This window comes from Homo sapiens, chromosome 14, assembly GCF_000001405.40.
Source record: "Homo sapiens chromosome 14, GRCh38.p14 Primary Assembly".
Taxonomy (NCBI): domain Eukaryota; kingdom Metazoa; phylum Chordata; class Mammalia; order Primates; family Hominidae; genus Homo; species Homo sapiens.
In genome coordinates this window covers 69,635,326-69,663,187 of record NC_000014.9, presented here as the reverse complement: position 1 = coordinate 69,663,187, position 27,862 = coordinate 69,635,326, and the positions used below count along the sequence as shown (strand labels likewise).

Genomic DNA, 27,862 nt, shown 5'->3' with positions numbered 1-27,862 from the left:
GTCAGCAAGCCAGTTGGATTAAGATCAAACTATGCAAACATGAGCTTTCTGGAAAGCAATGGGGATTCCTGAAGTAAATTAATCCCTCCTTACTGGTCAAATTTGATAACTGCTCCAAAAATCTCTTATCCCCAACTCAAACAGTACTTTGCACCTTAAGTTTTGTGTTTCAATGACAGCAAAGAATATCAACTGCATAAAAAGTCTACTGCACCTTGTAACTCAACAGTAGGTCACATACCAATTCTGTTGTTGTTATTTGGGAATTACATCACACACTTCATTTTATATGCCAAGTGCCTGCCTTCCAATCATTTTTATTAGTCTACACAACACCAACTTAACATTCTTAAGGATTATTGTTTCTGTTTTGCAAAAGACACAAAGAGGTCATGTGATTTGCCTCAGGTCATACAGCAAGTTTCTTAAGACTACAGGTAAAATGAAAGACTTGGAGACCTGAGAAAGGCTGCTACAGAGAAAAGATCTTAATTCCGCCTAGTCCAAGAAAGGCAAATTGGATAGCATGTGCATAGATTTTATTTTTAATTCTGGTCTATCCACTGCATGGTGTGACTAGGTGTGAAGAATAAGATACGCCTCCTTTTGCCACTCTTAAAAAGGAAACTTATCAATAATTCTCCCCATTTAAAGGAATGACCAAAGGAAAGCTGGACCCAATGCCTCTCTAACACCTTTTCTGCTATAACTGCAAATCTCGAGCTGTAGATGAGAGAAACCAGTATGGAAACTGAACTTTAAACATGATGTAATTTTACTCCAGAACTCTCAAGTACCTGATTCTTCCTACCTTAGACTGTGATCAAAACTGTGATATTTGATGATGAGATGATACAGATTATGATGACTGTGGTATCTACGACCAGAGACGATGCAGACAAATTGTCTCCAGAGGATGCCCAGTTACCTATGTCTAGTGGTATTCTCAGAGTCATGAATGTGCCTGTACACACGCATATAGCCAGGGTCTACTACAGCCCACTGGATAGCAAGGCTGTATATTTTACAAGCACCCACTTAAAAATGTCTCTGAAGTGGGTGTTCAGGAGCAGCTATAAGAACAGGTAAGAAATGCAAGAAGGAGGCCAGGCGCAGTGGTTCACACCTATAATCCCAGCACTTTGGAAGGTAGAGGGGAGAGGATCACTTCAGCCCAGGAGTTCGAGATCAGCCTGGGCAACATAAAAAATTTTTTTTTAATTAACTGGGCATGGTGGTGCATGCCTATGGTCCCAGCTACTCAGGAGGCTGAGATGGGAGGACTGCTCCAGCCTGGGAGGTCAAGGCTGCAGTGAGCTATGATTGTACCACTGCACTCCAGCCTGGCAACAGAGTAAGACCTCATCTCTAAAACAAATAAAAAGAAAAAAGAAACACAAGAAGAGGAAAAGAGGCTTTTCCTGAATTAAACTGCCTTTCCTCGGCTTCAGAGTATCTGAGATCCTGGTTTCTGGACAAGCCTGCTTGGCATGCTGCTTATGCCAGGCACGGCCATACAGGTGTGCTTTGGGTTTCAGGCCTAGAAAGGGCACCTACTCCCCTAGAAGCTACTCCAAAGAAAGGGAAAAACATTGGTAGCAACTTAGTACACAGGATCTAAGCAAAGGTGAACCCCTTTCCCCTGCCAGTACACATGTTTTATGGGGAGTAGAAAAGACTTGGAGGTTGGGGTGGCAGGGAAGGAGCATTCTTTCAGGTGGGGGAGGGGAAAGAAAACAACAGAGCCAACTTTCCCATCCTGGTCTGAGCCCACACTATAAACAGACACATTTTTCCACAGTGGAAAATAATAATCCCTTTATCCAGCCAGTATGGAACCTGATAATGGATTTCGGATCTTGAGTGGGAAGCTGGGAAGGTGTGGGTAGTTGGAAAATGAGGTGGGGAATGGGAGGGATGAAGCCAACAAAAGGGAGGTTAGGGGTAAATAGGATAGCTTAATGACACTAGAGAGGCTTAAGGCAGACATTATGCCACTAACACCACACGCCAGGGCAGTTTCCTTAGAGGAGCCTTGGAAGAGGCAGGTCACAGTGGTATGCCAGGCACCAGGCTAGGTCCTGGCCCTACCATTAGCTGTGAGATTCTGGGCAGCAAGTGCACAGTTCTCTGAAGCCCAAGCTGGTTTTGACTAGGCCTTCCTTCCTTCCTGCTCTGACAGTCATTCCATTCACATGCATACTTATTGAGCACCATTTGTTCTGGGCTGGGGAAGAACCTCTTTTACAAAGACCCAAATATTTTAAAGCCTCAACATTTTAGGCTTTTCAGGCCACATGGTCTTTGTCATAACGACTCAACTCTGCCACTGCAGCACAAAAGCAGCCATAGACAATATATACATGAATGAGCACTGCTGTGTTCCAATAAAACTTTATAGACATTGAAATTTAAGTTTCATATACATTTTTACATGTCATGAAATATCTTTCTGATTTTTCCAACCATTTAAAAATATAAACAGTTAACTGGAAGGTTCTACAAAAGCAGATGGCAGGTAGGATTTGGCCTGTGGGCCAGTTTGCCAACTTCTGCTCTAAAGACACAGTGGTGAATAAGAGAGTCAACCACACTCTGTGGTTCTGCAACTAGCACTTCTAGAGGCCTCCTCTGGTTTTGGGGTGACCCTATGAAAGGAGGCTCTGCTTCATTTTGTTGCACATTGGTATAGCCTGGTCTTCTCTTCCTTTGAAACCTCATATAACCATGATGGCCACATTGTGGGGTCCCAATCATCATGGCCCCCTGGGCTGTGCCAGGGGCTCCTCATGCCTAGGGGGAAAAGGCTTGGGTTAAGTGTCAGAATAGGGTGGAAGGAAAGGCACATCTATATGTTGGTAGTGGAGAAGGCTACAATGAACAAAAAAATCTGTAATTGTTTCTTCCAACAATTCAGAAAAGAAAAGAAAAAAAAGATTAGCTGAGACTGTGCCATTATCTGTTTATGTTGGATAAGTGGGTGGTGGGAGCTGATAGAGAATGAAAGAAGTAGCACTAAACTATGGAGGCTCTACAGCCACAATATACCACTCCCCTACTGTCCCCACCAAAGTCCCCTTCCAGGATCTAGTTCTGAGATCCCTCTCCAGGAAGCACTGGACAAGGAAACTGCCATGTATGTGTTTCTAACAAAGTCCAGTAGGAACACCAGTATTGGTGAGTTCAATGATGATTCTGGAGTGTAGACACAGAGGTAGGTTGTGGCACACCACCCAGAGGCCTACCGTACACACCCAAACATGTCCTTTAAGGACATTTTGTCTAGAAGATCACACAAAGACTGCCTAGAAGGGTCTCTGGAGCACTGTTGAAGGCAACAAGGGCTGTACAAACTCAAAAAGGTTCAATGGGCCGAGCACGTGGCTGACGCCTGTAATCCCAACATTTTGGGAGGCCAAGGTGGGTGGATCACCTGAGGTCAGGAATTCAAGACCAGCCTGGCCAACATGGTGAAACCCCGTCTCAACTAAATAATAAAAAAATTAGCTAGGTGTGGTGGCATGAGCCTGTAGTCCCAGCTACTCGGGAGGCTGAAGCAGGAGAATCGCTGGAACCCGGGAGGCAGAGGTTGCAGTGAGCCACGATCGTGCCACTGCACTCCAGCCTGGACAACAGGGTGAGACTCTCTGAAAACAAACAAACAAACAAACAAACAAACAAAAAGGCTCAATGGGGCATGTCTAGCCCCTGCTAGGGCCCGTCCAGCTCACCATCTTCAACCACAAAGTCCTTAGAATCATCAAAGCATTTACTGAGGGGCAAAGAAGTGACTTTAAATGTTATTCCAGGTAAACCCATTCATCTGATGGAGGGAAAAACTGAGCCCTAGAATGGTTAAGTCGCTTGCCCAAGATCACAACATTTGTAGTGTCAGTGACCGGGTCTTATTTTCACTAAATTACAATACTTCAACTACCCACTCATTCTGAGAAAAAGCGCAGAAAGACGAACAAACAAAAGACAGCTAACAATCATTACATACTTATTTTATTACCTCAATCTTCACAACCACCCAGTGAGGTAGGTATTATTATTATCCCATTCTGCAGCTGAGGAAACAGAGCCTTGCAGCAGTAAAATAACTTGTTCAGAGTCACAGGGCAGGCAAGTAGTGAGAATGGGCACTGAACACAGGCAGTCTGATTCCAAAGTCTGTCCCCTTAACCTGCATATTGTGCTCTGAACCTTACACCTCTGTCCTCCTGATGATGATTATGGCTGGGGGAGAGGGGTGACAAGGTTACCACCAGCAGGCTCCCACACGCCCCTCCTCCAGGTGACTCATTAGACCTCAGAAGGACTGGCTCCCTGCTATATTTACCACAAAAGCCCTCCACCCTCTGCTCTCCCTGAAACCGCCTGCCAGGAGGAGAGTCCCCTGTCCTAGTCTTCGAGAGAAACAATGGTATTAAATATTTTCCCACCCACACACAGAAGGCAGGTCAGGACTTACCGGAAGCAAGTCCGTCTCCAAGCAGGGTGCAAAGGATCACTAGCGGAAGGAACACTCCATGTCCCACGGAGGCCACGGCAAACACTGAGGTGCTCTTTGGTGCTATCCTGCCATGGCACATCTTTTATCCGTCCAAGTTTTTTTAAAAAGAAAAAATTTAAAATCCAGAAGAATCCTAAAGTCGGCCGGGAGCTGATTCACCTGTAACAAACAAACAAGGACATAAAGTGAAAACTTCAGCCATAAGTTAGTTAAAAGCAGCCACTTTGGTAAGGAAGCCATAATCACACACAAAGTTGAGAGAATTCTAGCAACTATTCGAATCCCTGCTGCCAGGAGAGGCAAGCACAGAAGTGGCTTTTCAACTCCTCCCTGGGGAAACAAGGCCTGCAGCGTGCAGAAGCCAGGAGGTGAGCTCTGTCTCACCTGGATGGCAGTCAGGCACAGCAGGGCTTTCAGAAACTGCCCAGCTCTGCCCCACCGCCTGCCTGGAGGCTCCAGCAGAGAGACGGCTATTGACACAGAGCTGCTACACCCAAGTCAGGCTTTGCCTTTGCCACTTGGACTCAGAACAAGTTCAACTAACCAAAAGGAAAAAAAGAGAGAGAACACGTGTCGTAAAGAGAGAATACACCGCCTAGAGAAGGAATGCAGCAGTGGGAGCTGAGGGCCCCAGCCTGCTTGCTAAACTGCCAAAGGCTGATGAGCCGGAGGACCTGACTCGACAGCCGTGAATCTCATTAATCAAGGCTCACCCAACACACCTGTGACCACATTATGTTGGCTGTCCCTGAAAAAGATGAGACGGGGGGAGGCATGGAGAATGGGCTGCAATTGCTAACTAGCCCTACCACCCACCCACTCTAGTTCAGACAAAGACTTCAGAAAAATAGGAACCAGTAGAGAGACAGAGAGAGAGTGAGAAAGAGTGTGTGTATCAGAGCTCAAGACTTTAAAGATTCTTTTCTATAAGCCTTTAGGGAGGTAAATGGGTTGACGATACATTACAATACATTATGGTGTGGGCCTATTATATTTCAGTTAACTTATTTAATTTCATTTGCCAGTTATTTTAGTTTACAACAGGTATTCCATATAATATTACACTTCTTTTTTTTAAGTTACACACACACACCCCCTTCTCCATTAATAAGGCTTTATATGCATAGATTAGGGAGTCTGCCATCTATAACCCTAATAAAGGATGCCCCTGGGACTCTGCCAGGGATACTACCCAGATCTGATTTTGTTTTTTTTTTGAGACACAGTCTTGCTCTGTTGCCCAGGCTAGAGTGCAATGGCACAATCTTGGCTCACTGCAACCTCCACCTCCCGGGTTGAAGTGATTCTCCTGCCTCAGCCTCCCAAGCAGCTGGAATTACAGGTGCCCGCCACCACACCCAGCTAATTTTTGTATTTTTAGTAGAGATGGGGTTTCACCATGTTGGCCAGGCTGGTCTCAAACTCCTGACCTCAAGTGATCCGCCATCTCAGCCTCCCAAAGTGCTGGGATTACAGGCGTGAACCACTGCACCTGGTACCAAATCTGATTTTAATCTGTGTCTGAAGCATGACTCAGGCCTACTCTCCCCTCCTAAAGAGGGTAACTGAAAACAGCAACGTAAGTTGTCTCTGTCCAAAGCAAGACTCTCTGTGAGAATTGTCAAAGGTTCATGAACAGAGCTGGCCACTGGTCCTCACCCATTTCCCTCTAATAATTGTGACTATAGCAGTCTTCTGTCCCCAGGTTTCACCCAGACTCCAGTTTGAGCCTTTAAAACTGTAGAACAGGGATGGTTCATGCAGAGGTCTGGGATGGAGTCTGTGAGTGACCACCAAACAGTACACAAAACTGTGTGTCGAATGTGTGCCCATTTATGTGGCTAAGAACAGTAAAGTCAGAATGCCTGGATTCAAATCTGTTTCTTTATTATGACCTTGTGGTCAAGTCATATAACCTCTCTTAGCCTTAGTCTCCTCATCTGTAAAATAGGGATAGTAACCATACTAACTTCGTAGAGTTGATGTAAGGATTAGGATAGACAAAGTGCCTGGCAAAGTGCTTGGTGCTTTGTAAGTCCTCAGTAAACACTGGCTGCTGCTGCTGTTGTAATCATTAATAAGACCTGCACAGTAGGGGCCTTAGAGTTCCTCAAGTTCCACCATCTCATTTGACAGATGCCAAATTAAGGTCCAAAGTGGTTAAGGGATATACTCAGAGGCCCCAGCTGGTCAGTGACAGAACTGGCAATGGGCCCTTTGGTATTGCTGTTTTAGGTGCAGTCACACCAGGTAACCCTACCGGGCAGTTGTCATCCCCTCAAGGCAATAACCAGTGGATCATCAAGAATGACACCTGCATGTGCCACATCACAGCACGTGTATAAAAAATATTTAAGCAGTGAATAAATGAGGCCACATAAGGTAGTGCTTAGGTGTTTTGTGCATAAGTGGTGGTAGTCAGGAAAGACTGCCTAGAGGAGGTGATGCTGAGTCCTAAAGGATGTGAGAGGGAGGGAGGGAGGGAAGAATGGAGGAATAGGGAGGGAGGGAAGAATGGAGGAAGACGGAGGGAGGGAAGAATGGAGGAAGAGGAAGAGGAAGGGAAAGGAAAGGAGGAAGGAAGGAAAAGAAAAAAAAAAGGAAGCACCAAATACAAGTGGATCAGAGTACTATGGGAGCACATTACTCCTGGCAGAGGCTGGAGGCAGGGGCTAAGCAGAGGGGTTTAAACTTTACCCTTACAAGGATTCTAAACAGGGAAATTATAAGACTAAACTCATTTAGGAAGATCATACTGGCAGGGATTTTAGAGGATTTTGGTGGGGTGTGAGGGGACAGGCAAGGGAAGAGCAGTGGGGCCGGCCAAATGGTAAAGAATCTTAAATTTAGTTTTTTGGCGTTTTTTGGTTGTTTTTTAAAAGACAGGGTCTCACTCTGTCATCCAGGCTGGAATGCAGTGGTGTGAGCACAGCTCACCTGAACCTCTGGGCTCAAGCAATCCTTCTGCTTCAGCATCCCAAGCAGCTGGGACTATAGGAGCACGCCACCACACCTAACTTTTTTTTTTTTTCTTTTAAAGAGAGAGGATGTCTCACTATGTCGCCCAGGCTGCTCTCAAACTTCTGGCCTCAAGTGATACTCCTAACTCAGCCTCCCAAAGGGCTGAAATTAGAGGGATGAGCCACTCTGCCTGGCTAGCATTTTATAATCAATATAGAATCCTTCGGAGAGCAACTTGTTAATAACTATTCCAAAAAAATGCACATATACTCTGACTTATCAGTTCTAGAATGTGCCCTAAGAAATCACATGTGCAATGACATATATGAAAGATATTCATGTATTGTTTGTAAAGGCAAAAGACTGAAGTAACCTAAAAGTTCATGAAAGGGGAGTATACTTAAATAAGTTATAGTACACCCAATATAATGGAATACCGTACAGAGGTTTAAAAAGAACAGGGCAATTCAACCTGTGCTAATATGGAATGACTTCTAAAATTAGTATGTGAAAAAAATAACCTGGGTATATGCATGTATTTTTGAAAGACAGACACACACACACACCCCTATAAGCACGGAAAAACTCACCTGGAATAAAGCATAAGAAATTGGTAACTGCCGGGCACAGTGGCTCATGCCTATAATCCCAGCACTTTGGGAGGCCGAGGCGGGTGGATCACAAGGTGAGGAGTTCAAGGCCAGCCTGGCCAAAACGGTGAAACCCCGTCTCTACTAGATATACAAAAATTAGCCAGGTGTGGTGGCGGGCACCTGTAATCCCAGCTACTCAGGAGGCTGAGGCAGGAGAATCGCTTGAACCCAGGAGGCGGAGGTTGTGGTGAGCCGATATTGTGCCACTGCACTCCAGCCTGGGTGACAGAATGAGACTCTGTTTCACACACACACACACACACACACCAAAAAAAAAAAAAAAAAAGAAATTGGTAACTAATGGTCGCCTTCAGGGAGGGGAACTGAGTGGTTAACGGGGAAGGAGAAAAAAAATTTTTAACTGCATATATTCCCTTTTACTATATTGAGTGTTGTACTTTGTACATGTATTATCTATTCAAACAAAATGTTAAGTTAATGTAGCAAGGCCTTCCTATAGACCACTTGTCTCCTCTCTCAACAAACTGCCATTAAAACAAATCCCAAAAACCTAATTGCTCCCTCTACCAGGAATAGAGTCATTTTAGGGGCTCAGCACAAGGGTCATCTAGAGGAATTCTTTCCTGACACTTCACACCACACCCACCTCCAACGTAGAAATGACCCCTTCTTACCCTGCTATGACTGTACCTTTAACAGGTTATTGTATCTATTTGTTTATCTGTCTCACCACACCAGGCTGAGACTTCCTTGAAGGCAGGGACAGTGAATTACTCAACTCGGAATCTTCAATAGCCAGCACAAGGCCTGGCATCTGACAGGCAGGTAGCAAAGGTCTGCCAAAATCATGAATACTGTGGGGAGGAGCCGGTATGGAAATGGAGCAGACAAGATGTACATGTATGAGTTCCTGATCAGTTTTAGGTTTTTTGTTTGTTTTTGGTTTTGCTTTGCAGGAATAGCTGGCTCCTCCCTTACTGCTTAAGCAGCTACCTGAGTCGAGGAACCAATTCCATCCTGAAGCCTAAGACGGGACAGGTGCAGAACAGACGGGGTGATGGAAATGAGGGCTTTGCAAAGAAAAGATAAATAGAAGGTAGTCAGTGGGGTGTTTATATGTAAGGCTAGGCCAAGGGTTACTGCTTCAGAAATAAAACAGAGGAAAGCTAACCCCTAAATCTCCAAAGTATTGCCCAGAATGGGAGAACCCAGCTACTGTGGAGAAAGGGCCACAGTATAAATCTAATCATTTTAAGAAATAATCTGCCTTGAATATAGAATTTAAAAAAACAAGACTTGTCCTTGGATTGTGGCTTTAGTACACCAAGCAAAAAAAAAAAAAAAAAAAAGTTTCACTAGGTATTCATTATCCCTAGAGAAATACTGAGGCTAAAACTTTGTTTAAACAAAAAGAATCCATTTCACTTCAGTATTCCTTTGGCATGTTAGTGACTACTCCTCCTAATTAAAAAAAATTATCACTGAAGAGGAACCTAGAACTAAGCATCAAGTTCAAAACTAGCACTCGGCCATCCTCACAAGGAATATCACATCTGAACTTAGAGCTGAGACAGAGGAGAGGGCCTCAATGACTCAGTCCCACCTCCGCCACCAGCCAGGGAGCTGGTCATGAAGGCTCTCTGCCTTCTGTTTCCACATCTGAAAAAGGCTCTAAGGCCACAGAATTCTTCACCGCTTCTACCCTTCTCTTGCTGTAATCCATCTCTTACCCCAATAGCCGGCTTTCCTCTTCAAAACACAGGTAAGGAGAGTCACCGTTCTGATTTTATTTCTTGGGAACTAGTGCTGCTGCCCCAACACCTGGTGGTAGCAGGAGGCCTCAGCTCGACCGTCAGCCCCAAAAGGGCAGCCTCTCCCACCTCTGTAAACCTAGAATATCAACAGCTGGGTGACTGCCCTACTGAATGTGATGTCGTGGACACTCACTTCCTGTCCGTAAGTTCCTCCAATGAGGAAGAAAACTGCCCTCAAGCCACAGCTCTGACCTTGAGGAAGTCACTTACTTCATCTCTGCCCCTGTTTCCTCATTTGTAAAATGGGGCTGTTACTTGCTTTGACTATCTCCGTAGACTCTGTTGAGGCTCAAAAGGAACAAAATATGAGGAAATGCTTTGTAAACTAGAAACACCTGGGGCTTATGTTTATTGTCTTAGCCAGAAGCCAAGACAGCAGAGGGCTGAGAAATGATGACACGCACGGTGGGCTTCTGGTAAGGGCCTGCAACACAAGCCCAAAGTTCACATGGTTTACTTGCTTGTTGTTGCCACAGATGCTTCCAAGTTAACCCAAGAGCCTGCTAATAAGTTTAAAGGTGCCCTGGAGTCACCTTCAAAAATGGCTCTGGCCTTGGGAGGCAACAGCAGCAGCAGCTAGGGCCAGCCAGGAAACAGCCAGGGCCCAGATCTCCTCAGTCCACGTGCCTGGGGCCCACCCCTGCTGAGAATGCCATAGTCCTGCTGAAGGTGCAAGGTCATCTCACACTATCAAACACTATCAAACACTTCTCCTAAAGGCAAGAGGGGTCTGATTCAGTCAAGCGTGGCTCCCAGGTGCTGCGTGGGTAAAGTCAGACTCCGTTTACATGTAATTTTTATTTTTATTTATTTATTTATTTATTTTTTCCGAGACAGAGTCTCACTCTGTTGCCCAGGCTGGAGTGCAGTGGGAGTGGCACAATCTTGGGTCACGGCAGCCTTTGCCTCCTGGCTTCAAGTGATTCTCGTGCCTCAGCCTCCTGAGTAGCTGGGACTACAGGCGCACGCCACCATGACTGGCTAATTTTTGTATTTTTAGTAGAGACAGGGTTTTGCCATGTCAATCAAGCTGGTCTCTAACTCCTGACCTCAAGTGATCTGCCTGTCTCGACCTCTACATGTAATTTTTAGAACAAATTTTTTCCTAAACCATGGCTCCTCTGTCCATTAGTTAAGAGAGGGAACTGGGATGATAAAACCAACATAAATCCTTTTCTTGCCTCAGACTAATCTAGACAGAGGATAATGGTAGTAGTGGTGAGAGTCCAGAACAACAGAGTTTATTCCTTTAATTAACTATGTTCACCAACCTTGATCCTGCCACATGATGAGAAAGGACAAAGAACAGTTCCAGAAACATGAACAGAAATTAACCCGCTAATTACATTTCAGGTTGTAATGATAACAAGTCCTAACACTTTGAAGTCCAAAGTTCCCCAGAGGGGTGTGATAAGTAAGAGAAATGACTAATACAGCCAAAGCTGCCCAGGCCCTTCCTTAACCTCTCTTTCTTCCCTGCAACATCTCCCCTCTGTACTCCTACTCACCCTGAAATGGCCAGGCTACAGTATCAAAACATATCTAAACACTTATTGGACCTTAATGCCTCCTACCCCCCAAAATTCAGTTATTTATAGATGCCTTCTATCTTCTCCCATTGTGGATCAATGGATTCTTCCAGTCCTACTAACTTCTATATCTTCCCCTTTCCTTTTTGCCACTAACACTTGAGTGCTTCGACAGCCACATATTTTACCGGACTCTGACATCCTTTCAGGCCAGAATATTAACTTATCCATTTCCTTTAATCTCCAGCTCCTACTTGAAAAGGCAAACATCAAACTCCTGTTAAAATCACACAGCCTCCAAATCACAAACATTACCCTCAGCTTTCCTCTTAAGCCACCTAAGCCATTACACAGTGTCAGAGGTTTTTTTGAATTGCTTTGATATTCCCTGCGCCCTTGTCTTCCACCCCCAGAATTGCTCACATCATCTGGGCAACACGCTTTCCCCAACTTCAGACAACAGGAAAGCCAGCAGACACACTACCACCCCACCTAAGTCTTCTCTTTAACAAGTCTCTAGCACCTAACAGCAGGATGACTGCAGCAGGGACCTGATCACAGGACAGGAGGGACAGCCTAGGTCCTAGCCACTGAAAAGCGGTTTGGCCTCAGGCAAGTCAGTGAGTCTTTCTGTCTCAGGGGTGAACCTGGATGATCCCCAAAGGACCTTTCAGCTGTAAGAAAACTGGAATGTCTTCTAGGGAATAGGAGGGGCCCAAAAGTATTTCCTCTAAAAAGTAAGTCAACACAGGCTCTGACTGGAAGGAAGCAACATTAACTCTATCCTCATTGTTCTGACTGAGCAGCACATTCCCCTACATCTTCCCAAGACGGATCCCTACCATCCATATCCCTCTGCATTGCAGCAAACCCAGGACAGTCCACTTTCCCTTTAGGGTTTAATCAATCCATCAGCACATTTGTATGGACTATCCGTACACAGTGTTCCTAAAATGCTTTCAAAAAATAACACATCTTAACAACAACAACAACAACAACAAAACCCAGCCTCTGCACACTGCAGAGATACAGGGGCCCAGGGAGAAAGGGAGAAAAGATGCAAGAGAGAAGGCAAGAGAGAACAAATAAGACCAGACAGAAAAAGAGGGGGGAGGAGGCAAAGTGCCTGTGAGCAGGAACAAAGCCTGTCGTAAGTTCCTGACCTGAAGGTAGGAAACCCCTTCTCCAAACCCAGCTTCAACATGACTGAGGGGCCAACCTTGGACAAGCACTTTGCTTCCATGCCTGTTTTCTCATCAGTAAAACAGAACACTTGAACTATGTATCTCTCAGGGAGGCCAGTATCATGGAAAAATTATGGCAGATACTATCAATTGGGTGGTCTAGGGCAATTGGGTGGTCTAGGTACAGTCGCCGTCTGTAAACTGGATAAATGATACCCACCTCATTGGGTTGCTGTGCAGTGAAATTAAGACAAACGTGAGACATGTAGGACGATGTATGAAACAGTGGGTGCTCAAATTCATGCTGGCTAAGCCCCTTCCTGTTCTAACAGGCCGTGACTGACCCCCACTAGACTCCCCAAAGGGCACTGTTTCAGCTGGTTTGGAAACACTGCCTGAGACTAGGCTCAAAACACAATGTTAGTTTAGACAAGAGAACAGCCAACAGGTTAAACAAGTGAGCCTCCCACATTCTTTCCCATCAAATTCTAAAAATTTTTTAAAGCACTTAGCACTACCTCCCCTCCAAATTAAACAGCTATTGTTTGTGACTATCCTAAAATAATATTAGTTTCTGGCAGACTAAGGGAATATACACATACACACACTCATTACCTCATTAAATAGGTGGAATTAGCCCCATTTTACAGATAAATGGAATTCAAGAGGCCTGGAAGTCTTTCCTCCTCCTGCTTCCCTAATAGGGCTCCCTGCTCTTTTGTTTTCCAAATAAAAGGTCAAGCTTAGTTCCCATCTTAGTTTGGGGAGAATTTCTCAGTTCAGCCCAAAGGCATGGAAGGCTCTTCCAAACCCTCAGCATCCCTGCCTGGACCAGGAATAGGACAGTCAATCATATCCCTCCCCGAAGGCCACTCACAGTTATTTAACTTTTGTATGCTGCATTTCCGCAGGTAATAAACTCCTGCAGAGACCACCAATTCTCTGCCCCCAAGTGCTCAACAATACTTCTCGAGTGAATGAGAAAAAAAGATAAACTCACAAGATATAATTTGTATAGAAAAATACAAAATGGCAAAATAACAGCATGTATAAAACAAGAGGGAAAAGATTATATAAATCCTGAAATTTTGGCCAGGTAGCAAAACAGATGCTTGGCAGAGGCGACTGTAATTGGTTCCTAGACCCTAGAGATATATCTCATGTGTCATCACATCTCTCTGCTTGGTTCCCATCAGGGCTGAGTGGAACAGGCTTCAATACCCAGTTGGCAAATAAAGTCCGGGAAGCCGATTTGCTAAAGCTGACTTCTTAGGGCTCTGTGTCTCCAATGACTATACTGCAATTCAGCTAATATTTACTGGCTGTCTTCTATGCAAGGCTTGGGTGATCATAGAGATGAATTGGGGCACAGTTCAATTCTTACTCTCAAGGAATTCACAACTTACGTGAGAGGAATTATGTTTATCTATATAACACTGTCAAATTGTTACTAGGGCCCCAAAGAAGGTTTTTTAAAAAGTGCTATGAGAACACAGAGGACACAGGAACAAAGACTTCTGATGGGAGTAGGGAGAAGTGAAAGAGAAAGCTTTGAGTTGGACCTTGAACCCATGCACAAATTTAGAGCTCCCAGGACAGTGTTTTGCATGCACAGTGCTACTTACAAAGAAAGATAAAGAAATGGAAGAACAACTCACCAAAAGGATGGCAGAGAGAGGAGGGAAAAAAAACTTAATTTTGTCTGCCTACAGTCACTGAATGCTGCTGTCTGGTAACAAAAAATGTCTGTCTGTCTATATACCTTCACTCAAAGAATGTTTAGGAGCTAAATTTTGGTATTCCGAGTACTTACAGCTATGCAGGAAACACCTCCTCCAGGTCAAAAATAGCAAACCCTAGAGAGCTGGCTGATGCAGTTATGTTTACTTTTTACCATCTCTGTGGATCGTTTTCCAAAGGCCTGGGAGTGGGATGGTATAAACAGGTCTGTGTCACTTCCTGGTTCTCAGGCCTTCTGCTACATTCCCAGTCAGTCTGGGAAAGCTGCCTATTTAAAAATAAACTTTAAAAACTCACCAAAAACCCCAACTCTAAACCATCCTTCCCTCTATTTCATTCAATTTTACTGAAATTAAAAGGATAGTGAGAAATAAGACAAAAATGACCAGAGAAAGTGAGTTCTCAGGTCAAAACAAAAAATAGGTGCTCAACTGAGCTCAAGGTCAAGAGACTTGGATTCTACTTGTGTTTCTCCTTTAACTGGAAAACTTGACCTTGAACAAGGAGGCTGCTTCATCTCTCTGCGTGATAGCTACTTCAGCATTCTCTTTACCTCAATGTAGTTATCCAAGCTTTCCGGACCTCTATTTCCTTTCTATAAAATGGTACTTAATAATGCCTATCTCACAGGGATATTTTAAGTATTATATGGGGAAATATATATAAAGTACATAGCATAGTGCCTGTGACTTAGTAAGTCATCAAAAATAGTAGTTACTATTATATTCATCACCATCTATCATTATTATTGTCATCATCATCTGAAAATGCAGGGCTGGACCAGACGATCTCTACTTGAAGAGCTTCTCTGGTTCCAAATCCTGATATCCTGATTCTTTATTTTTTTTTTCCTGAGATGCTCTGTCGCTCAGGCTGGGGTGCAGTGGCGCAATCTCGGCTCACGGCAACCTCTGCCTCTCGGGTTCAAGTGATTCTCACGCCTCAGCCACCCGATTAGCTAGAAGTACAGGTGTGCGCCACCAAGCCCGACTAATTTTTGTATTTTCAGTAGAGACAGGGTTTCACCATGTTGGCCAGGCTGGTCTCAAACTTCTGGTCTCATGTGATCTGCCTGCCTTGGCCTCCCGAAGTGCTGGGATTACAGGCGTGAGCCACTGTACCCAGCCCAAATCCTGATTCTTTAAGTCACTTTCTCCTTTTTTCCTTTTTTTTTTTTCCAGGGGGTTGGACAGCAAGAAAAGGGAGATAAACTTGGCAAAACGGTTAAATACACATCCTCAGCCTTTATGTTAGAAATACTAGCATACAATTAGGACATCCATTAGTGAGTGAAATGGGGCATATTACTTCCCCCAGCAGAAAAGCTTTGCCTATTTCTTGCATTAAATCCGTAGCATTGTGGCAAGTTCACCAACACACTATCTGTACTCCCATGAGCACCATGGACAACCCCACCCCCACTCCACCAGCCAGCACAATTTGACTTCACCCACCTCACCTCTAACTGTATAAACAAACTTCTCAGCAGTTCCTTAGAGAGCCCTAAAAGATAGCAGAGTGACCAATCCACCCCTTTCTAATAATGACTAATCCTTCCAACAAAGTATTTATCTTTCAAAAGAGTCTTCCTGATATAATTTCAGTGTGGCCAAAAATCAAATGACCTTCCCAAAAGTTAGTGTAACCAGGAGCATTCAGCTTCACCAAGGCCAAGGTACTTAATTGTAATTAAATTTGGATGAAATAAACAAACATTTTCATCCATCCATCCATTCATTCATTCAGTGCCTGTGATGTGCCAAATGCTATAGAATATATCAAAAACTAATAGGATGAGGTGAGTGAGAACAATAAAGGATGATGCCTGGGGCTGGGCACTGTGGCTCATGCCTGTAATCCGAGCACTTTGGGAAGCCAAGGCGGGCGGATCACGAGGTCAGGAGTTCGAGACCATCCTGGCTAACATGGTGAAACCCCGTCTCTACTAAAAATACAAAAAATTAGCCGGGCATGGTGGCGGGTGCCTGTAGTCCCAGCTACTAGGGAGGCTGAGGCAGGAGAATGGTGTGAACCTGGGAAGCAGAGCTTGCAGTGAGCCAAGATTGCACCGCTGCACTCCAGCCTGGGCGACAGAGTGATACCCTGTCTCAAAAAAAAAAAAAAAAAAAGATGGAAAAAAAAAAGCCTAAGTTTTTGGCCTAAGTAACTGCATAAATGGTAGAAGCTACCACAGGAGAAAAAGAATACAGGTGAATAAGCAGGTTTGGTCAGGGAACATAATGAATTTCATTCAGATTATTCTTTAATATGTTGAGCTGGGGTACCTGAGGGATAACTGGTAGAAAGGTCTAGCAGGCAAATTAGAAATGAATGTGAAACCCTATAGAGCACTCTGAGCTTGGGATGTAGCCCTGGAGTGATGTAGCCCTGGAGTGATCAACCTGTAAGTGACAGTTGAAACCATGCAAAATAGATGAGCTCACCTAGGAAAGAGGACAGGTTGAGAAGAAAGTTAAGGACAGAATCCTAGGGAGAATGCTAACTTATAATGGGCATACTGAGGAAGGAAAGCCTATGAGAGATACTCCAAAAGGTACATGGAAACCAGGGGCATGTGCAACACAGATGTCAAGAGAGAGACAGAGAGACTCAAGGAAAACATGAGAAGTGGCAGATACAGCAAAGGCCCAGAAAGACGAAGACTGAAAAAGGCCCACTGGATCTGGCCACTAGGAAATCACTGGTGACCTAATCAAGAACAGTTTTATCGGAGTGGTGAAGGCAGATTATATCAAATTTAACATGAATTAAAAGTGGGAGGCCAGGCGCAGTGGCTCACGCTTGTAATCCCAGCACTTTGGGAGGCCAAGGCGGGCGGATCACCTGAGGTCAGGAGCTCCAGACTAACCTGGCCAACACGGTGAAACCCCATCTCTACTAAAAATACAAAAATTATCCAGGCGTGGTGGTGCACACCTGTAGTCCCAGCTACTTGGAAGGCTGAGGCAGGAGAATCGCTTGAAGCAGGGAGGCGGAGGTTACAGTGAGCTGAGATCGCGCCATTGCACTCCAGCCTGGGTGACAGAGCGAGATGCTGTCTCAAAAAAAAAAAAAAGTGAGAAAGTGGACGTAATAAGGGCAAAACTATTTGGGGAAGGGAGTGAAAAAGAAGGGAGAAGAAAGACTGGATGATAACTAGAGGGGGTTTGTGTCTTATAAGGTATACCTTCTCAATTAACCCAATGATTTGAGTTAAGGCTTCCTAAATGGTCCAGATAGCTCAGAGACACCCTCCACCTCTTCCATGGAAAGTCTCTCTGAACTAACACTTCCACACTCTGTGTTTAGCAAAAGCTAGGTAAAAGTTGGGGATACAGCTTAAAGTTTCCTGCTTCCTTAGTGTTCAACAACAACAAAGTCTCTCTACCCCATCATCCCCTCCCCTGAAATTGTTACCTCTTCTATAGGATTCATGAATGGAAAAAAAATAGCCTAGTGGCAGGGCCAAAGAGGTGACCTTCCCTAATACATCTGAGGCCTTAAGGTTCTCCATACATATGGTCCCAGTTTCTGCCATTTCCCTCCTTTCTAGTCAGAAACTAACCTGAGTATTTTCCCCTGAGTTTCAGGTTTAGGATTCCAGGGACATGTCTTCACCTCCATCTAATGAAGCTTAACAGCCCCAATGAGGTGCACACTCAAGCCAAACAAGATCCTGTCTTCTGGCTCCAAATATTCTCCATCTTGTGTAACTTCCAGGAAGCCTCCTAATTTATAACCAAACCATGATTCCTCCTGTCCTCTTCATCATAAATTACCCAAGCTTCCTGTAAGCTGTCAAGGTGGGACTGTGAGGTACAAGCAAAAATGAGAAGTAGGAACTTGCCCACTGTTCCTTCCCTTTGATTAGCCCCATGCCCCTGCCGCCACCTATACCCTTACCTCACCTTCTAATTGTACAAAGTCCCTCTGCCAAGGTCTATATGTTCTAGTTCTAGCTCCAGTCATACTTCCAGTTCCCTGCATGTGGGGCCCTAAATCAGGAATCAAGGAGTTTGCTTAAACTAATTAACATAAAGGAGAGTCCTTCAAACGTCCAAATAGAGATTCCAAAAGTAATCCAAATTAGGCAAAGTTCAGACAAAGGCACCAAATGAATAACTTTATAAAATCCAGGCAAATCAGATGAGGACACGTCCTGAGAAATAATTAATTTTTTTTTTTTTTGAGACGGAGTCTCACTCTGTCGCAAGGCTGGAGTGCAGTGGCATAATCTTGGCTCACTGCAACTTCCTGCTTCAAGCGATTCTCCTGCCTCAGCCTCCCGAGTAGCTGGGACTACAGGCACACGCCCCCAAGCCCAGCTAATTTTTCTATTTCTAGAAGAGACAGGGTTTCACCATGTTGGCCAGGATGGTCTCGATCTCTTGACCTCGTGATCCGCCAGCCTCAGCCTACCAAAGTGCTGGGATTACAGGTGTGAGCCACCGTGCCCAGCCATAATTAATTAATTAATTCAGGCAACATTCTGGAATATGTTAAAAGGGATTATGATAAACACAGAGAAGATGAAGAAGAAACATCATAAATTAATGAGAGAATTTGATATTTCCCTCCAGACAGGGCTTATGAACTCATTCCTAACATGCTTCTTTCTTAAGGAACTCAGTGACTATTCAACACATACATTGGGCACCTACATGTACGAGATTCCTTGAGAGGTAAAGGAAGCATACGCCCTTAAGAGTTTACGGTCTACTGTATATTGTGTATATATATAAGACACAAACACAAATAATTACAACATGAGGTACAAAGTGAAAAGTCATGGGAGATATACAGCCAACGTGTCAAAGATAAAACAGGAAGATAAGCTGGAGTCCAGAAGAGGGAAGTGACAGAGAAAATTACAGGGTCAATCAATGTAGTCTAGTGAATAGTACATAGTCTCTGGAGTCACACAAAAGGGAATTCAAATCCTGACTCTACCTCTAGCTTCTCACAGGGCCTAGGTATGCTGCTTTACTGTTGTGAGCCTCTGTTTGTCACATATAAAATTGAGGTAACAGACCTATACTTCATGGAATTACAGAGTCAATGAGTCACACATTTTTGAAATTGAATATAGTATCTGGCACAGAATAAGGCCAGGTAAAATGGAGGTGCTCACCCACACACAGAGACTTAATGCTCTCTTCCCTCCCCACACACGGCTGTCTGGGCCTGACTCATGAATAGGCAGACAGCCAAGCACCTGCTGTTTGCTCACCAATTCTGACTAGTTAGTTCAGTTGTTTGCCCAGGTTTAATGGGACCATGATCAGGAGGTACAGGAAGAAGACTCAAAGTGTATTTGTGTCACATGCATGTCAGGATGCACAGAATCTTCTGCTAGAAGGTGCAGCATTAGAATATGGGTAAAGTTACAGATTATACCACGTTCAGCAAGATACTGGCTATACTATTCTTTTGGACATAGCAGGTGCCAGATAAATATTTGGCAAACTGACATGATGTGAATCTGGCTGAATTACCATAAGATTTGTCTAAATGATCCATGTTTCAATAAGTGAACACAGAAGGAAAAGACATCCAAGGTTAATACCTGATTTGAGGGACAGCTGAGGAATATCTACCTCTAGTCATGGTGGAATAATGGGGACTCAACTTATTCTCCTTCCCTAAACAACTGAAAAACCAGATAAAATAACGGTTTTCAGACATTGGACAACAGGCAGCACAGGGCAGTAATCCTTGAGAAATGGGGGAAAAAACGCAGTGAGCCCTACTACTGCCCCACTTAACTCCCTTGAGAGTTTCCAGACCATAGGGTAGGGCAGAGAAACCTGAAAGAGTTCAGCAATGTCACTCAGTTGAAAAAACAGAGTTGGAAATTTGGAGAGGCCCAAGTGGCTAGAATTTGCAGGGCAAATTAATTGAAAAGGAGAGAGCTGCAAAGAGCAAAACCACCAAACATCTGCAGAGGGACCCCTTTGAGTTTTGGGCTGAGTACTGATCTGTGCATGCCTCTGAGGAAACTAGCAAGGGTGGGAAAATAATGATCAGAAAGAAGTGGGTGGCACAACCCCTAGAACTCACTCAGAGTCAGAAATAGTTCATGCTCTGATATGGTTTGGCTGTGTCCCCAACCAAATCTCACCTTGAATTGTATCGCCCAGAATTCTCTCGTGTTGTGGGAGGGACCCAGCAGGGGGGCGGGGGGCGGGGTAATTGAATCACGGGTGCTGGTCTTTCCCATGCTATTCTCATGATAGTGAATAAGTCTCACAAGATCTGATGGGTTTATCAGGGGTTTCCACTTTTGCTTCTTCCTCATTTCTCTTGCCGCCACCATGTAAGAAGTGCCTTTCACTTCCTGCCATGATTCTGAGGCCTCCCCAGCCATGTGGAACTGTAAGTCCAATCAAACCTCTTTTTCTTCCCAGTCTTGAGTATGTCTTCATCAGCAGTGTGAAAACAGACTAATACATGCTCCCACCAGCCAAGGCAGAAAAGTCTTCTAATACACAGGGCACTGGATGGAATCTTCAGAAGGTTTTTGCCTCCAAGTGGGACCAGCTTAGTTATGTTAGCTATTCCGGACTCACCCTAACAAAGCTTAAAAGTAAGCCATGAAAGGATCAAACCAATTCCAAGTAACTGAACTGCTCCTGAGAACAAAGCCCAAAAGTATTTTAAAAAATACAAAAAGTTCCAGCACCCAGCAAGGTAGAACTATGATTGGCTTTCAATAAAAAATTAACAGGCATGCAAAATAAAGCCCAGGAAGATATGAGCCAAAACTAGGAGAATAATCAAACAACAGAAACAGATCAAGAAATGACAGATGACAGAACTAGTAGACAAGGATGTTAAATCTCTATTATAAATATACTCCATGTGTTCAAGAAGAACAAAGCACGAGCATGATGAAGAGAGAAAAGTCATAAAGAATATTTGAAGTGGCTAGGCACAGTGGCTTGTGCCTGTAACCCCAGCACTTTGGGAGGCCAAGGCAGGAGGATCTCTTGATTCCAGGAGTTCGAGACCAGCCTGGGCAACATAGGGAGACCCCCCCTCCTCTCTACAAAAAAAAAAAAATTTTTTTTAAATTATCTGGGTGTAGTGGCATGCACCTGTAATCTCAGCTACTCAGGAGACTGAGGTGGGAGGACTGCTTGAGCCCAGGAGGTTGAGGCTGCAACGAGCTATGATCACAGCACTGCACTCCAGCCTGGGTGGCAGAGCGAGACCCTGTCTCAAAAAAAATAAAGATTCAAATATTCAAATTGAACTTCTAGAGGGAAGAATACCAATACCTGAAATAAAAAGTACACAGGATAGGATTAACAGCAGATTAGACAATGCAGAAGAAAAAAATAGTAAATTTGCAAAAGAAATTATCCAAAATTATACACTGAGAAAAAAGACTGAAAAAAGAACAGAACATCACTGAACTGTAGGATATATCAAGCAGCCTAATAGAACAGGAGTAATGGTTGGGGAGAGGTAGCAAGGCACAGAAAAAATATTGAGAAAAGAATGCCCCAAATTTTCCAAATTATATGAAAATTATGCACAAACAGATACAAGAAGCTCATCAAACCCCAAGAAGAAGAAGAAACACAAAAAGAAAACACAAGGTACATCATAATCGAAATGTTAAAAAAACAGTGATAAAGAAAATCCTAAAAGTAGCCATGGGGCAGGGAATTAGACACATGGCAGACAGAGGAGCAAAGAATTACAGCAGATTCAGTGTCAGGAATAATGCAAGCCAGGAGGCAATGGAGGCTCCATTCCATCACTAATGCTTTTTGTGCACTGGAATAATATTTAGGAAGGCCTAGTGTTGAGTACAAGGGTGAGAACTCTGTGGCCTTAAAAGCATTTGCAAGTACAGTATCCTCTGAAACTGAAAAAGGATAAAAACCCTTTCTTAGGCTCACATCTAAAAAGGGCATTTACCCATGTTTTATATCTATGTCCTCAGAACGTTACAGACTGTAATTCCAGTCTTACAGCAATAATCACTTAACACACTGGAAAAGAGACAGGAAAAGCTATCAGAGGATTCATCCCATATCAGAATAAAATCAAGTTAGAAATAAAAAATAAGGAGTTAGTCTACCAATGTCAGGCTTGAGCTGGTCTCTCTCCCTTCAAGTGTAGATATTTGTTGGTTAATGTGTCTCACTGCCCTCTACAAATTCAGATAAAATTTATTTTTCACACCAGGTGCAGTGGCTCATGCCTGTAATCCCAGTGCTTTGGGAGGCTGAGGCAGAAGGATCACTCAAGGTGAGGAGTTTGAAACCACCTGGGCAACAGAGTGAGACCCTGTCTCTACAAAAAATAAAAAGAAAATCAGCCAGGTGTGGTGGTGTGCACCTGTAGTCCTGGCTACTCGGGAGACTGAGACAGGAGAAATCACTTGAGCCAAGGAGTTCGAGGTTACAGTAAGCTATGATTGTGCTACTGCACTCCAACCTGGGCAACAGAGTAAGATCTTGTCTCCAAATATATATATTATATATTATATGTGTGTGTGTATATATATATAAATTTTTTTCAGAATGGAAGAATTCTCTTAAGGAGTAAGTGAATGATAGTTACTCAGTTCTTAGCTATGCAATCCAGCCCAGGACAGCAAAATCTCTTCCTCATTAAGCACCCTGGGCTTTGACCCCATTCTTCAGAGTCCAGCCTGGGTCTCTACACATCCTGGAGGAGGCATTAAGGTGGGAGCTTTCCCGGGAGTCTATAGTTAATAGTTTCGTGGTTCCTCCCTCCCCCACTAAACTATAAACTAAACTGTAAATAAACTCCCAGGAAGGCTGGTACCCATGCTACCTTTATAATCTGAGACTAATGCACACTTCCCCCCGCAAAAAAAAAAAAAAAAAAAAAAACAGTGTAGGTGCCCCAGAGGGACTCTCTTCCCCAAAATACTAGTTGCCTGAACCAGTGGTTTTCTAACTGGGACCAATTTTGTGCCACCTCCCCCATTTGGCAATGTCTAGAGGCATATTTGGTTGTCACACCTTGGGGGTAAGGTGCTACTGGTATCTAATGGATAGAGCAAGGCATGTCAACTAAACATCCCACAACACACAGGACAACCCCATACAACAAAGAATCACTTGATCCAACATCAGTGATGCTGCAGATGAAAGCCCTGGCCTAAGTGAACAAAGGATGGGCTGCCAAGATGTCAGTTGATCCACCTTAGTTGTACATGTGGTGCAAAACTCCCCCAAACCACTGGAAAGCCTTTTTGTCCAACCAGCATGTCCCCAGACCAACTCCGTGATTCTCTCATCTCTAACTCAGGTTTACACTCCCTCAGAGAGGGGCTTGGGAATTAAGATATCTGGTTTTTCACCCCAGCTCTGCCCCTGGCTGTGATTCTGGACATGTAACAAAACTTTTCTGGGCCCATTTCCCCCTCAGTAAAATAAACTGGAAAAGAGTAAAAGTTCTTTCAGCTCTAAACTTCTGTTTTAAACGCTAGGTTTGGCCTTATTTCTTTTTTTTTTTTTTTTTTTTTTTTTTGAGACGGAGTCTCGCTGTGTTGCCCAGGCTGGATCCCGGCTCACTGCAAGCTCCGCCTCCCGGGTTCACGCCATTCTCCTGCCTCAGCCTCCCGAGTAGCTGGGACTACAGGTGCCCGCCACAACGCCTGGCTAATTTTTTGTATTTTTAGTAGAGACGGGGTTTCACCGTGTTAGCCAGGATCGAGACCTCAATCTCCTGACCTTGTGATCCACCCGCCTCAGCCTCCCAAAGTGCTGGGATTACAGGCGTGAGCCACTGCACCCGGCCTGGCCTTATCTACTTCTAATGATCCAAAGAGAAACGGGCAAGGACCCAATCTTGTTGTGAGTAAGCACACACACCCTCTGAAGGGCTGTGGTTCTTATACCTTGGAAACCAAACTGGACCAAAGGAGCTCAGAGAAGCCAGCAGCTTAGATAAGAGGGGCCCGCCTAAAAGGCTCTGTAGACACTGGCTGAGAAGCCAGCCCAGGACCTTGGGTTTAAATTACGCAAGTCCTGACTAGCCCCTGTCTTGCCTTCCCTAGGTCAGTCTTTTAAATCAACTATTAAAAGGTGGAATAGGAAGGACACAGCCTTACTATTCAAAGTATGGTCCATTAACAGCAGCACTGGCAGCACCTGGGAGCTTGTTAGAAATGAAGAATTTCAGCCTTCATCCCAGATCTACTGAATCAGAATCTGCATTTTAGTAAGGTTCCCCAGGTGATTCATATGCATGTTAAAGTTTGGGGAAGTCCTGGTTAGGGTATGCTGCCCTTCCAGTCCCTGCTTTGTCACCTCTTCATTTGGTAAAGGTGGCTTTTAAGACTGTCCACAACCCTCATCCTTCAATCCCACACACACACAATTACACACACACACACACACACACACACACACACACACTCCCCACCCCACCCCAGTTCAGAACCTTCAAACTCACACCAAGAGTGATGGGGGTAGATTACTTCCTTTTTGCGTCTTTCTTAGGTCCTTACAAGGCCAGAAAGAGGCAAGGTTTGAAGCACAAGCTAAATTACAGTCCTTCCAAGTGAGTGATTCAGCCCATCCCTGCCATTCAAAGGCTCTCCAGGAGGAGGGACAGAAAACGGGGTGGTAAACAGAAAGGTATAAACTCTGATGGAAAGAGATTCATCATTTGCATCTGAACAGAGAATAACAAGGGTCCAAAGTTTCATTTCTAACATTTTTTGTTTTTGTTTCTGTTTTTTGCTGCTGCTGTCTTATGTAACATAAAGATTCTTGGAGGCATAGGCAAAAGGGCAAAGCACACACACAGAGTTAACAAAAACACAGCAAGAGTTCTCCTAGCAGAGTGGTGGGGGGCAGCAGCTGGAACAAAACCAAGACCTGGATGAAGCATAGCATAACTGAGCACTGGAAAAGAAGATAGAACGTGGGGAGAAGGGGGGCTGGACTCTGTCATGCAGTCAGTGCACTGAAGTGACTATGCTGCTGCCCCACACTCCCTCCCCTGCACAGGTCACTCACCCCTCTCACCCCACCCGCTGTCACAAGCAGCAGATGGCCCAGCCCTGGGCAGCTGGTCAGAGGACAGCAATCTGCACGTGCTTGCCTGCCCCTCCTCCAGGGCTGGAGATGAGGAGGACCAGGTCAAAGTCAATGCCCATCCCTGGTGGAAGCAATTCTTGCAAGAGTGTCCTGGGGGTGGGGATGGCAACATCACCCAATGCTTTGCCACAATGAGACACACTTCAAAAACAACTCAGCATTATCCAAGGCTCTCCAGCACCCACACACAGCTCAGAAAGAGAGAGCCTTAGGCAGGGTAAGGGTGGAGAGGGTCAGAGAACAGTTCCCAGAGCGCACTGGGGTATGCTGACCCTGGTTAGGGGGGGACATTCATTCCTTCAACATTTGCTGTGTATATACCACATCCCAGGCGCTGCACCAGCAATGAGGGATACAGTGGTGATAGCAGACAGTCTCTGCCCTCAAGAAGCTCAGGTAAGGTCAGGAAGAACAAGGAAACAGACGGTAATATGGTGCGGTAAGTACTGAGCACAGGGTGTAATGCCAGCACCAAGGAGAGGCACCCACACAAGTATGGGGCAAGCGGCAGTCTAAGCTGATACCTGGCTTTAGAAGGTATTAGCCAGACAGAGCAGAAAGAGGTGGGTACAGGGAGTGGTGGGGCATTCCAAGGAGAAGAAACACATCAAAAAGCTGGGAGGCAAAAGAGACCTGGGAACTGCAATCTGTGCTGTCCCAGCCTTTGCTAACTTTGGTCACCTAGACCAGGGGCAGACTCCCGGGTTTGTCACGGAATCCTAACACATTACTGCCTTAAGGAACTTTGGGATCATCTTATAAAATCCAATCTACCCATTTTAGGAGAGGAAAACTGAGGCCTATCAAATGATCATGACTTCTTGAGAGAATGGCTGAACCAGAACCCCATTCTCCTAACTCTCACCAAACAAAGTTTCCTCATATATCTCCCAATCAGAATCTGACCACTGACTGAGCCCTTCTGGACACAGAGCCAGGCCCAGAACTGTTCTCCACTAGGCTAGGTCTGTTCTGAGAACCCAAGGAATAGCTCTCGTCCAGGCCTCTGCCAGACTGGAGGTCCAGCAGCACTAGCCTCCAGGAACTCCAACAAGGTAGGAACAGCTCATGAGAAAAAAAGACTGGCTACCTGCCTCTTCTGGAAAGGAGGCAGAAAGCACACATGGCAGTACCGGAGATAGGCTCTGTGAGTGTATATTGGCAACAATGGGTTCCCCCAGGAAATGAAGAGTTGTTCTAAGAGCTGAAGGAAATTATCAGCCAACACAGAAAGAGGAGGCGAGTCTGAGGTACTGCCAAACCAGGCAGGCTTAATTAAGGCTCTCCCACCCTCTTCCTCAGGAAGCCAGTCCCTACCCCTGGCTGGTCACACTACCTTAACTGTGAGAAGCACTCATTTCAGGGAAGCTGAAGGCCTTCCTCTTGGTCTCACCTCAGGAGGTAAGCCATCAGCCAGGGGTCTGAGCCACTGGAATTTCAGGGCCTAGCTGCCCTTACTGTCACCTCCGTCTATGCCTTCAACAGCAACAGTACTTGCTCTATTGTGGTTCTATAGCCTGCCGCCCACTCCAGGCAGCAAGAGTGTGTGCAGAGTGGAAGAAAGCACTCATTAGCTTTGAGTGTAACCCTCTACAGAATCTAAATAGAAGGCACAGTTATTCAACTGCTAAGGCACAATTCCTCCTCTTCTCATAGTAAAACAAAGATGCATGTCCACACCCACTAGCTGACTAAAAACTGTGCAGAAAGAGAATAAGAGGCACTGGGGTTAAACCAACTTACTAAATTCATCTCAGTCCCTGGCAATCCTCAGTTCTATGACCCTGAAGCATAGGTGTGATGAAAACAGCCTAATAATCAGAAATCTTTCCTGTCCAAAATGCCCTCAGATGCTGTCCCTGACCACATGCTCAAGTGCAATCCCCAAAGGCTGGCCCTGGCCTTCAGGGCCAATGCCAGCCCAGGGCCCTAGACATGGATATAAAGGCCAAGAAAGTGGCCTGCCAGAAAAAGATTTACTCTAGGGCTGAAAAGCCACGTTTGGTCTCGTACAACAAAGGGGTTATAATGGGAACCCTGTGTTCTAAACTCCTTCACATCTGCCACAAGGAACCTCTGGGTGGAGGTGAAAATGTGTGTGTGTGTGTGTGTGTGTGTGTGTGTGTGTGTGTGTGTGTGTGGTGTGCCTTGGGTGGAGTGGGGGCAGAGGAGATGACTTCCTTCTCTTCCACCCAAAAAACAACTCTTTAGAATATGTCCTCCTGAAAGGCAAGTAAGTACAGTTCTGATTTCCAAACCTCACTGTTTGACAGAACTTGTTTTCTCTCCCTGCTTTTTAAAACAGATGAATGCTCCCCTAGGGGAAAAGCAGCTGTAAATATAGAAGAGGGTGGAAAAAGAATCCTGCTATGAGTTCCAGAGGAACTATTGTACTATTGTAAAAGGCCTTC

At 44.8% G+C, this 27,862-nt stretch overlaps 1 protein-coding gene across 1 annotated transcript in view, besides 4 other annotated features; it reads right to left on the bottom strand.

The window, feature by feature from the left end:
• Positions 1–27,862, bottom strand: part of SUSD6 (sushi domain containing 6) — a 103,549-nt gene that overhangs the window by 51,957 nt on the left and 23,730 nt on the right. The window contains exon 2 of the mRNA NM_014734.4: positions 4,475–4,675. Within this exon, the coding sequence (NP_055549.1) occupies positions 4,475–4,595 (121 nt within the window). The 5' untranslated portion in view covers positions 4,596–4,675. The remainder of the gene's footprint in view (positions 1–4,474; positions 4,676–27,862) is intronic.
• Positions 4,709–5,489: an enhancer, noted in NCBI's record as "H3K27ac-H3K4me1 hESC enhancer chr14:70124416-70125196 (GRCh37/hg19 assembly coordinates)". NCBI's record gives its function as "activates a minimal SCP1, AML or CMV promoter by ChIP-STARR-seq in naive H9 embryonic stem cells {active_cell/tissue: H9 hESC(naive)}" and the evidence as "EXISTENCE:reporter gene assay evidence [ECO:0000049][PMID:30033119]".
• Positions 19,482–19,776: a silencer, noted in NCBI's record as "tiled region #10837; K562 Repressive non-DNase unmatched - State 6:EnhF". NCBI's record gives its function as "represses a minimal TATA promoter and a strong SV40 promoter by Sharpr-MPRA in K562 cells {active_cell/tissue: K562}" and the evidence as "EXISTENCE:reporter gene assay evidence [ECO:0000049][PMID:27701403]".
• Positions 24,918–25,430: an enhancer, noted in NCBI's record as "H3K4me1 hESC enhancer chr14:70104475-70104987 (GRCh37/hg19 assembly coordinates)". NCBI's record gives its function as "activates a minimal SCP1, AML or CMV promoter by ChIP-STARR-seq in primed H9 embryonic stem cells {active_cell/tissue: H9 hESC(primed)}" and the evidence as "EXISTENCE:reporter gene assay evidence [ECO:0000049][PMID:30033119]".
• Positions 25,466–25,515: an enhancer, noted in NCBI's record as "active region_8642". NCBI's record gives its function as "activates an Ori minimal core promoter by ATAC-STARR-seq in GM12878 lymphoblastoid cells {active_cell/tissue: GM12878}" and the evidence as "EXISTENCE:reporter gene assay evidence [ECO:0000049][PMID:35858748]".